Source organism: Homo sapiens, chromosome 16 (genome assembly GCF_000001405.40).
Source record: "Homo sapiens chromosome 16, GRCh38.p14 Primary Assembly".
Lineage (NCBI taxonomy): Eukaryota > Metazoa > Chordata > Mammalia > Primates > Hominidae > Homo > Homo sapiens.
The window spans coordinates 70000367-70012490 of NC_000016.10; the positions used below are offsets into that span (position 1 = coordinate 70000367).

General features: G+C 44.6%; 2 pseudogenes across 1 annotated transcript in view; both read right to left on the minus strand.

Annotated features, from left to right (window-relative positions):
• The window catches only part of PDXDC2P-NPIPB14P (PDXDC2P-NPIPB14P readthrough, transcribed pseudogene), an 89652-nt pseudogene that overhangs the window by 24070 nt on the left and 53458 nt on the right, over nt 1-12124 (minus strand). Inside the window, exons 15-16 of the transcript NR_003610.1 lie at nt 11475-11563; nt 10385-10490 (exon numbers count right to left, since the gene is read on the minus strand). The product of NR_003610.1 is annotated as a PDXDC2P-NPIPB14P readthrough, transcribed pseudogene (transcript). The remainder of the gene's footprint in view (nt 1-10384; nt 10491-11474; nt 11564-12124) is intronic.
• PDXDC2P (pyridoxal dependent decarboxylase domain containing 2, pseudogene) overlaps nt 10636-12124 on the minus strand; it is a 54947-nt pseudogene continuing 53458 nt past the window's right edge.

A 12124-nucleotide genomic window follows, 5' to 3' on the forward strand; every position in this document is an offset into this window, starting at 1 on the left:
AAACTTGATCTAATATTTAATATTTATTCAGTTCTACACTTTATTAACTTCTACACCAGCAGATTTAAAAATTATGTAACTATCTCAAGAAGTTTCACTTGGGTGTAATGGTTCACGCTTGTAATCCCAGCACTTTGGGAGGCTGAGGTGGGAGGATTGCTTAAGGCAAGGAGTTTGAGACCAGCCTGGGCAGTACAGCAAGATCCCATCTCTATTTTAAAGAAAAGTTTCACTTTGGGAGGCCAAGGCGGGCGGATCACAAGGTCAGGAGATCGAGACCATCCTGGCTAACATGGTAAAACCCCATCTCTACTAAAAATACAAAAAATTAGCCAGGCGTGGTGGTGGGCGCCTGTAGTTCCAGCTACTCGGGAGGCTGAGGCAGAAGAATGGCGTGAACCCAGGAAGTGGAGCTTGCAGTGAGCTGAGATTGTGCCACTGCACTCCAGCCTGGGCAACAGAGCGACACTCCGTCTCAAAAAGATAAAAAAAAAAAAAGTTTCAGCAAATTCCATCTAAGAATTCCACCAGAGTTCTGTTGTCTCCAATGTCATCTTCCACAGATTTCAAGTTGTGAAGCCCTGAACTGTTAATTTATCTTGAGAATGTATATTTGAGCTTAAGACTATATACCTAAAAATTGAGCATATAATTTCTACAATTTGTTTATGTAAGTTTCTGTAAGTCATAAGTATGTGGTTTCCAAGTGTATAATTTATCTGAATGTAATAGGCATTAATATATTTTACATTATTGGGACCATAGTACAGAAATTTCTAAATGGTTTGTAAAATAACTTGTTATTTGTGTTGTTGTAAAAGCAGTTAATACAATGGAAAAACTCGTAATAAGAAGATACATTTTAACATCAAAAAGTTTACCCAAGGTAATTATGAATACTACCTGGCAAAACTTTACAGAAGCTGTGGTATCACTTTTATGATAGAAAAATAGTGTTTGCATTTTGTGTAAAAGTACTTGGGGCTGGGCGTGGTGGCTCATGTCTATAATCCCAGTGCTTTGGGAGGCGAAGGCAGGTGGATCATCTGAGCCCAGGAGTTTGAGACCAGCCTAGGCAACATGGCAAGAGCCTGTCTCTCCAAAACCTACGAAAATTAGCCAAGCATGGTGGTGTGAGCCTGTAGTCCCAGCTACTTGGGAGACTCATGCAGGAGGATCTCTCGAGCCCAAGAGGCAGAAGATGAGTAAATAAATGGATGCCACTGAATGAGATGAGGTTTCTCTTGAAGGAGAGAGAAAAAGAGATTTAAATAGTAACAATTATAATAAGGCTGGGCGTGGTGGCTCACGCTTGTAATCCCAGAACTTTGGGAGGCCAAGGCAGGAGGATTGGTTGAGGTCAGGAGTTTAAGACCAGCATGGCCAACACGGTGAAACCGTGTCTCTATTAAAAATACAAAATTAGCCGGACACGGTAGTGCGTTGCCTGTGGTCTCGGCTACTCAGGTGGCTGAGACAGGAGAATCGCTTGAACCTGGGAGGCATACGTTGTAGTGAGCCGATTAAAAAGTATTAGAGTCCTAACAGAGGAAAGTTTCCACTGATCACCTTTTAGCTTTAAATAATGCAGAAGCATTTGCCCAGTTTACTTGTAATTAAAAATCATGCATCATTCACAATTTATCAGTCTTTTTTGTTTGTACAAAAACTAATATAAGTTATTCTCTTTTGTCTGTATTGTGACTGGTTTGGTGAGAGGGAATTAGGCCACTCGAGAGTTTGTGTGTGTTTAAAATTTTCTGGCCAGGCACGGTGGCTCATGCCTGTAATCCCAGCACATTCGGAGGCTGAGTCAGGGGGTATCACCTGAGGTCAGGAGTTCTAGACCAGCCTGACCAACATGGAGAAACCCCCATCTCTACTAAAAATACAAAATTAGCTGGGCGTGGTGGTACGTGCCTGTAATCCCAGCTACTCGGGAGGCTGAGGCAGGAGAATCGCTTGAACCTGGGAGGTGGAGGTTGTGGTGAGCTGAGATCGCGCCATTGCACTCCAGCCTGGGCAACAAGAGCGAAACTCTGTCTCAAATAAATAAATAAATAAATAAATACATAAACTATCACAGCATAAAGTAGGAGGGATATTTCATTACTGTCTAGTTAAACTGGTTAATGCGGAAAGGAAGTCTGGAAATTCCAGTTTTAAAGTAAAATTTTGGACATTGTAGGATTGATTATTTGGCATAGTTGTGATGTTTGTTGCTGCATTACGGTTTTGTTGGCAGGGCAGCCTTTAAGGACCGGTCTATTTTCTTCTAGACTCTATATATTCCCCGTCAGTATTAGTTGCATGGTCAAACTGGCAAATTTTACCATAGGTATAAATAATAGAGAATGTGGAAGAATAGTGAATAGTGTCAGAGATAGTTAAAGGTCCATACAGAAGTTGAGAAGGTAATAAGTAATAGTGGCTTGGACTAAATATTTGTTGAATAAATTTTTTAAAAAACAGGCTACCTACAATTTGTGTTGAAGATATGAGTGAATGAAGTTTCCACACCCTTATGTGGAGTCCTGCTAAGTAAGCAACAATAAGGAAGGGTCCCCAGGTTGGGGAGAGCCCCAAGTTGAGGAGAATAATGAACAATTATTGTATGAACAATTGTTAGAGACAGCTAATCACAAACAACCTGCGGGCACAATGACCTCATTCCACACGTAGCACCCTTCAGCAGGACCCTATAAAACTTTCCTCCAGCCCTTGCCTCTTTGCAGGTAGCCCCTTCTCTGCTGAGCTGCCCATTGCAACATATTTTCATAATTTCTCTAATAAATCTGCCCTTCTTTACCTACAACTATCTTGGTAAATGGCTTTACCACCTGCAAAACCAACCCTAGGTAGTTGCTACCTGATATGGTTTGGCTGCGCCCCCACCCAAATTTCATCTTGAATTGTAGCTCCCATCATCCCCATGTGTCGTGGGAGGGACCCGGTAGGAGGTAATCGAATCATGGGGGCAGGTTTTTCCCATACTGTTCTCATGATAGTGAATACATTTCACTAAATCTGGTGGTTTAATAAAGGGCAGTTTCCCTGCACGTGCTCTCTTGCCTGCTGCCATGTAAGACGTACCTTTGCTCCTTCTTTGCCTTCCACCATGATTCTGAGGCCTCCCCAGCCTTGTGGAACTGTGAGTACATTAAACCTCTTTTTCTTTATAAATTACCCAGTCTCAAGTATTTCTTCATAGCAGTATGAAAAGTAACTAATATACTACCCGAGACACCTTAGGAGATTTGTAATAGCTGTAATGCCAGGTCCACCATATTTTTAGCATAAAGCAAATGTTTACCCATGATATGACTGCATAGGCTTTCAGCTGGAGCCATAGTAACTCAAGTAGTAACCATATCTTACTCTGATTAAAAGTAAATATTAGTCTGGGCATGGTGGGACATGCCTGTAATCCCAGTACTTTGGGAGGCTGAGACAGAAGCATTGCTTGAGCCCAGGAGTTTGAGATCAGCCTGGGCAACATGGAAAAACACCATCTCTACAAAAAATACAAAAATTAGCTGAGCGTGGTGGCACACACCTGTAGTCCCAGCACCTTGGGAGGGTGAGGCAGGAGGATCTCTTGAACCCAGGAGGTGGAGGCCGCAGTGAGCAGTGATCATGTCAGAGGCATGTGAACCAGAGCAACTCCATCTTAAATAGGAGCTGGGAAAAATGAGGCTGAAACTACTGGGCTGCATTCCCTGATGGTTAAGGCATTCTAAGTCACAGGATGACATAGAAGGTCAGCACAAAATACCAGTCATAAAGACCTTGCTGATAAAACAGGTTGCAGTGAAGGAGCTGGCCAAAACCCACCAAAACCAAAATAGTGACAAGAGTGACCTCCCGTCATCCTCACTGCTACACTCCTACCAGCACCATGACAGTTTACAAATGCCATGGCAACATCAACAAGTTACCCTATATGGTCTAAAAAGAGGAGGCATGAAAAATCCACCCCTTGTTTAGCATATCATCAAGAAATAACCATAAAAATGGGCAACCAGCAGCCCTCCTGGCTGCTCTGTCTGTGGAGTAACCATTCTTTTATTCCTTTACTTTTTCTTTTTTTTTTTTTGAGATGGAGTCTCCCTCTGTCACCCAGGCTGGAATGCAGTGGCGTGATCTCGGCTTACTGCAAGCTTCACCTCCCGGGTTCACACCATTCTCCTGCCTCAGCCTCCAGAGTAGCTGGGACTACAGGTGCCCGCCACCACACCTGGCTAATCTTTTTGTATTTTTAGTAGACACGGGGTTTCACCGTGTTAACCAGGATGGTCTTGATCTCCTGACCTCCTGATCCACCTGTCTCAGCCTCCCAAAGTGCTGGGATTACAGGTGTAAGCCACCGTGCCCCTCCTCCTTTACTTTTTTAATAAACTTGCTTTCACTTCACACTGCGGGATCACCCTGAATTCTTTCTTGCACAAGATCCAAGAACCCTCTCTTGGGGTCTGGATTGGGACCCCTTTCCTGTAACTATCATGCCACTGCACTCCAGCCTGGGCAACAGAGCAAGGCCCTGTCTCAAAACAAAAAAAAGTAATATGACTTAATACATTCATTTTGGAGGGTAAGTCTCTCAAAATAGGCCTTTCACTGGGGGAAAATGGTAAAAATACTCCCTGGTAATTCAAGAATTGCAGACTCCTGAGATGCTGCTCATATCAGCTGAACACTTACCAATACTTCACTTTCTTCCATATATACTCAAGGAACAAGTGCTATTTAAAGTGTTTCACTCTGCTGTGCTAGGTGCAAGACTATAAAGAGGTGTGAGGATCAACACTTTTATGAAAACCAATGTCATTCTGAATATAGTTTCAGATGCTAGTGCAAAGGAAGTTCTTGGTATATGGAAGAAGTATTCAACAATAAATTAGGCATGGTTGCTTCCATTTTCTGCCTCACATACTTTTTTTTCGTGGTTAAAGTGATACAATGTCTATGATATTTTAGATTGGCAGTTGCAAACTAGTGGTCCTCAGCGTGCTTTTTATGACACCTACAAGGTTTGAAGACTTTGATTTCATATTAAAAATCTGGGTTTCAGGCTGGGTGTGGTGTTGCACTTCTGTAATCCCAGCACTTTGGGAGGCTAAGGTGGGTGGATCACCTGAGGTCAGGAGTTCGAGACCAGCCTGGCCAACATGATGAAACTCTGTCTCTACTAAAAATACAAAAATTAACCAGGCATGGTGGCATGTGCCTCTAATCCCAGCTACTCGGGAGGCTGAGGCAGGAGAATTGCTTGAACCAGGGAGGTGGAGGTTGCAGTGAGCCAAGATCGCGCCACTGCACTCAAGCTTAGGCAATAGAGCAAGACTCCATCTCAAAAAATGAATAAATAAATAAATAAAATCTGGGTTTCAGGCCAGGTGTGGTGGTGCACTCCTGCAATCCCAGCACTTTGGGAGGCTGAGATGGGCAGACAGCTTGAGCTCAGGAATTCCAGACTAGTCTGGGCAACATGGCGAAACCGCATGTCTACAAATAATACAAAAAAATTAGCTGGGTGTAGTGGAGTGTGCCTGTAATCTCAGCAACTTGGGAGGCTGAAGTGAGAGGATTGCTTGAGCCTGGGAGGTTGAGGTTACAGTGAGCTGAGATCGCACTCCTACACTCCAACCTGGGCAACAGAGCCAGACCTTGTCTTAAAAAAAAAAAAAAAAATTCTGGGTTTCTGGCATCTCAAAAAAAAAAAAAAAAAAAAAGGAAAGGTCAGGGCTGCTACAGTCCTCTATTAAGCAATGTGCCACAGCAGGGGTCCCTAATCCCTGGGCCATGGACCTGTACTGGTCTGTGGCCTGTTAGGAACTGGGCCACAGAGCAGGAGGTGAATGGTGGGTAACAATTGAAGCTTCGTCTGTATTTCTGGCTGCTCCCCATTGCTTGCATTGCTGCCTGAGCTCTGCCTCCTGTCAGATCAGCAGCATCATTAGATTCTTACAGGAGCATGAACCCTGTTGTGAACTGCACACACGAGGGATCCAGGTTGCATATTCCTTATGAGAATCTAATTCCTGATGATTTGTGGTGGAACAGTTTCATCCCAAGACCATTACCATCCTGCGCCCCATCCCTTGCCGCCTGTGGAAAAACTGTCTTCCGCAAAGCCGGTCCCTGGTGCCAAAAATGTGGGGGACTGCTGTGCTTTAGAATCTGCCATTAATCTGCAGCCTCTATTATATAGTTCCCTATAGACTTTGCTTCCTACCGTCTTACATTCTGCCTTATAGGCATCTGAGTTTGCAACCCTTGTTTTTGTCAGTATGCTACGCTGGTGACATTGACCAAATTGACCACACATTAATGATAAGCTTAGTTGGTGATGACCTCAATGGAATAACGTGACATAAGTATTGTGACAATACTTCTTGCATGTATCTGCAGGTGGAATTGTAAACCTGGTGGTCCGAGATGGTCTAACTCGATCTTGCTATGTATCTCCTTATATTAATAGTGATAACATTTGTGGTGGTGATTCAGCGTTTCAGTGCCTCTTCTCATGGCAACAACAAACGTTTTCCTTCTGAATCAACATTAACCTAGATGTTACTGCGGATCAGAATTAGACTCTACATTTTCAACCACAGAAATATTGGGCAGTAAAAATTTTTCTTAATATTGATTGCCCACATACATTGTGTAATTAGCATATGTTTATAGTTCTATGATTTGTGCGTGGCTGCTACAGAGCTGGAGGGGGTAAAGCAACAGTGTTTTCTCAGTTGTGCGAGCAGCATTACATTATAATGAATAGGTAATATTAAACTGGGCTGATAAGAGTTGCAAAAGACTACTTTAATGTTCATATGCAACCAAAAAAGAGCCCGCATTGCCAAGACAATCCTAAGCCCAAAGAACAAAGCTGGAGGCATCATGCTACCTGACTTCAAACTATACTACAAGGCTACAGTAACCAAAACAGCATGGTACTGGTACCAAAACAGACATATAGACCAATGGAACAGAACAGAGCCCTCAGAAATAATACCACACATCTACAACTATCTGATCTTTGACGAACCTGACAAAAACAAGAAATGGGGAAAGGATTTCCTATTTAATAAATGGTGCTGGGAAAACTGGCTAGCCATATGTAGAAAGCTGAAACTGGATCCCTTCCTTACACCTTATACAAAAATCAATTCAAGATGGATTAAAGACTTAAACGTTAGACCTAAAACCATAAAAACCCTACAAGAAAACCTAGGCAATACCACTCAGGACATAGGCATGGGCAAGGACTTCATGTCTAAAACACCAAAAGCAATGGCAACAAAAGCCCAAACTGACAAATGGGATCTGATTAAACTAAAGAGCTTCTGCATAGCAAAAGAAACTACCATCAGAGTGAACAGGCAACATACAGAATGGGAGAAAACTTTTATAATCTACCCATCTGACAAAGGGCTAATATCCAGAATCTACAAATAACTTAAACAAATTTACAAGAAAAAAATCAAACCACCCCATCAAAAAGTGGGCAAAGGATATGAACAGACACTTCTCAAAAGAAGACATTTATGCAGCCAACAGACACATGAAAAAAATGCTCATCATCACTGGCCATCAGAGAAATGCAAATCAAAACCACAATGAGATACCATCTCATGCCAGTTAGAATGGCAATCATTAAAAAGTCAGGAAACAACAGGTGCTGGAGAGGATGTGGAGAAATAGGAACACTTTTACACTGTTGGTGGGACTGTAAACTAGTTCAACCATTGTGGAAGTCAGTATGGCGATTCCTCAAGGATCTAGAACTAGAAATACCATTTGACCCAGCCATCCTATTGCTGGGTATATGCCCAAAGGATTAGAAATCATGCCGCTATAAAGACACATGCACACATATGTTTATTGCGGCACTATTCACAATAGCAAAGACTTGGAACCAACCCAAATGTCCATCAATGATAGACTGGGTTAAGAAAACGTGGCAATTATACACCATGGAATACTATGCAGCCATAAAAACGGATGAGTTCATGTCCTTTGTAGGAACATAGATGAAGCTGGAAACCATCATTCTGAGCAAACTATCGCCAGGACAGAAAATCAAACACCGCATGTTCTCACTCATAGGTGGGAATTGAACAATGAGAACACTTGGACACAGGGCGGGGAACATCACACACTGGGGCCTGTCATGGGGTGGGGGAAGCGGGGAGGGATAGCATTAGGAGATATACCTGATGTAAATGACGAGTTAATGGGTGCAGCACACCAACGTGGCACATGTATACATATGTAACAAACCTGCACGTTGTGCACATGTACCCTAGAACTTAAAGTGTAATAAAAATAAATAAATAAATAAATTGGGCTGATGAGTCATATTACAGTAATCCAATATTTCCCTTGTAAAGTCCCTGAGGTTTACAGAAGGAAATCTTTTCTAATAACAAGAAGAGTGAGGCATGTGCTTTGGTCTTTATTTCCTAGCTATACGATCCTGGGTAAGGAGCTCAACTTTTCTCTGCCAAAATTAAATGAGGATTGAATGAGATCATATATGTGAAGTTGTGAAAGACAGTGCCTGGCACATAGTAGGATCAATCAATGTTAGTATCTCTAAAATAGAGATTGAGTCTGAAGATCCACAAAGTGGTAGAACCGATCTTAAGATTCCCAAATGATAGAATTGTGCTTTATTTGCCTAAGTAGTATGGTATTACTTATTGCATGCCCAGGGGATCTTTTTTTAAAAATAATATTTATTTATTTTGAGACAGAGTCTCGCTCTGTCCCCCAAGCTGGAGTGCAGTGGCACCATTTTGGCTCACTGCAACCTCTACCTACCCGGTTCAAGCAATTCTCCTGCCTCAGCCTCCGGAGTAGCTGGGATTACAGGTGCGTACCACCATGCCCGGCTAATTTTTGTATATTTAGTAGAGACAGGGTTTTGCCATGTTGGCCAGACTGGTCTTAAACTCCTGACCTCAGGTGATCCAGCTCCCTCAGCCTGCCACAGTGCTGGGATTACAGGTGTAAGCCACCGCACCCAGCCCTAATGTTTTATTTTTTGGTAGAGATGAGGTCTTACTATGTGGCCCAGGCTGGTCTTGAATTCCTGGACCTAAGTGATCCTCCCGCCTTGACCTCCCAAAGTGTTGGGATTACAGGCATGAGCCACCGTGCCCAGTTCCCTTCTTAAATAGTTTTAAGGGGGAGAAGAAAGAAAAAGACTGATTTTCTTCCCTTCCACTACCAAAACAGGCAAAACACACCGGAACACTTTGCTTAGCATTTCTTTTCTTTTCTTTTCTTTTTTTGAGAAAGAGTCTCCCTCTGTCAGCCAGGGTGGAGTGCAGTGGGGCGATCTTGGCTCACTTCAAGCTCCACCTCCTGGGTTCAGGCCACTCTCCTGCCTCAGCCTCCTGAGTAGCTGGGACTACAGGTGCCCGCCACCACGCCCGGCTAATTTTTTGTATTTTCAGTAGAGACGGGATTTCACCGTGTTAGCCAGGATGGTCTGGATCTCCTGACCTCTTGATCCGCCCGCCTCTGGGCGGCCACTGGTTGTGTGTAAAGCTCCCGGATGACTCTAATGTGCAGTGGGGAGTGAGAACCCTTGTAGTGGAAAACCGAGAGTCACAAGACATCAAAATATAGGAATTCCAGCCTGGCCAACGTGGCAAAACCCCATTTCTACAAAAAATGCAAAAATTAATCCAGTGTGGTGGCTCATGCCTGTGGTCCCAACTCCTCGGGGGCTGAGGTGGGAAGATCACTTGAGCCCAGGAGGTCAAGGCTGCAGTGAGCCATGATCGCACCACTGCACTCCAGCCTGGGTGACAGAGCAAGACCCTGTCTCAACAACAACAAAAAAGGAATTCAGGTGATGACTTTTTTTTTTTTTTTTTTTTTTTTGAGATGGAGTCTCCTCTGTCCCCAAGGCTGGAGTGCAGTGGTGTAATCTCAGCTCACTGCAACCTCGGCCTCCCAGGTTCAAGTGATTCTCCTGCCTCAGCCTCCCAAGTAGCTGGGACTGCAGGTGTGTACCACCATGCCCGGCTAATTTTTTGTATTTTTAGTAGGGGCGGGGTTTCACTATGTTGGCCAGGCTGGTCTCGAACTCCTGACCTCAGATGATCTGCCTGCCTTGGCCTCCCAAAGTGCTGGGATTACAGGTGTGAGCCACCATGCCCGGCCAATTCAGGTGACTTCTGAATTCTCATTCTGATTCTGGTAAGTTACATGGGAATGCTAATCTACCTAAATTTAGCCCAAAAGAAAAGAAAATGCCCCTCCAAAAAGAGCTGCTAATAACTCTAGGAGAATGGAGTATCATAAGGGCAAGCTAATCTACCCAGCAGCCCCAGAACAAAAGCAAGGGATGTCCACCGAGCCTGGTTACCTGCTGCGGTCATCAAAGGGCTGAACCGCAAACACGTGCCCTCAGCTTCCAGATCCATGACTGTGAGGCCGCTCGCAGGCACCAGCTGCTTCAGCTGTTCTCCCAGCTGTGAGGAGGACACAATGAACACCCTCCTGTAACAAGGGACTCAGACGTCTTCAGGACCCATCCTCATCCCCTCGGCCCCAGACCAAAGAGCCTCCTGGAGAGCTGGTTCATGCTCTTTTGACTGTCTGATTACTTAGAGCAGCTTTTTAAAAACAGTAAATTTTATGGTTTTTTCTTATTAATACAAGTTCATTGTAGAAAAATTTAGGAAATACAAGTAAACAAAAAGAAGAAAATAACAATGACCCACAATACATTACTAAGCGACACCCACTGCTGACATGTGGTCTGCCCCCAGCGTCTTTTCTCCTAGTGGCAGGCAGGGAGTTGTAGTTGTTGTCATAAAACATGCTACTTGACACTGCTTAGTAACCTGCATTGATTCATTTCGTTTATGACCAGTTCCTTTCTGCTTGAGACACTCAGCTCTGTGGTCTCTCACAGCTGTGCTGAGCCCCAGCACGGATGTACTAGGACTTATCCGCCAACCCTGCTAGGCTGGGCGTGTCCAGCATTGGCTAGAACCGCTGCTGCCGCCGTCCCACACTGTTCACAAGACCCTTCAGACTCAAATCCTAGAGCTGCTATTCAGTGCCCAAAACGCTATCAAAGTGCAGGCCTGGCTCCACACTGCCAGCTGCAGATGCTCGGCAGACTCTGCCTGGGGCTCCCGGCTGTGCTGCCCAGGCTCACCAGAACCCACTGCAGCTGCCCTGCAGCCCACCTTTTGCCTGTTGTCTCACAGCCTTATACAGCAGCAAGGAAAGTGAGGGAGCAATGCTGGAAGGACTTGCCAGAGGTGACCCAGCTCGTGAGGTGGTAACGCAACGGGGAACAGAACTCCAGAGCAGGCCCAGCACTGGCAGGGCGGCTCCTCCTGTGGGCCTCAGTTCCCATACACAAGCAGGCGTCACCCTCACCAGCAGGTCGGATGGTGATGGACGGGGACCTGAAAGGAAAGGCGGGCGACTGCCATTCTCACCCAGAGATTCAGCGCATCACACGAGTGCCTCTCCCGGCCGACTGCTGAAGGTGTCATGTTGGGCACTGGGACGGCTTTAAACACTGGATCTGACACCAAAACACAGAAAGGGAGTCACTCCCAGAAACACGGCTGACCAAAAAAAAAACACCCTCCAAACCCCACATCATTCCCATCCCAATATTAGCCCCAGGGCACTGACTCGTATTACTGAATTCTCATGTATTATCTGACAGAAGGGCTACATTTCTTTCTCCTCGTGATCTATGTAACACTTGAATACATTCACATAAGACAGAATTATTAATTTCATTTTTGAAAAGGTTTGCTTTCAAGGGATTTCAAGAGGAAACAGCAATTGTTGTAAGTTACTAACTAGTTTACCAAGCACCGTGCGAGGTCTGTGAGTGCCACGATCATCCAACTAGGCCTCACAGTGGGTGCCCACCCATGCCAGGCACAGAGCCTGACACTTGGGACAGAAGGCAGGTAAGGTTTCTGTCATCTTGGAGCTTACATTTTAGTTGAGGAAACAGACCATAAAGAAAGAAAATCACTCCATGTGGTTGTTAGTGTCACAAGTGAAGCTGGGGGCTCTGATAGAAAATGATGGAGTCCCCTCAGGCAGGATAGGCAGGGAAGGCTGAGGA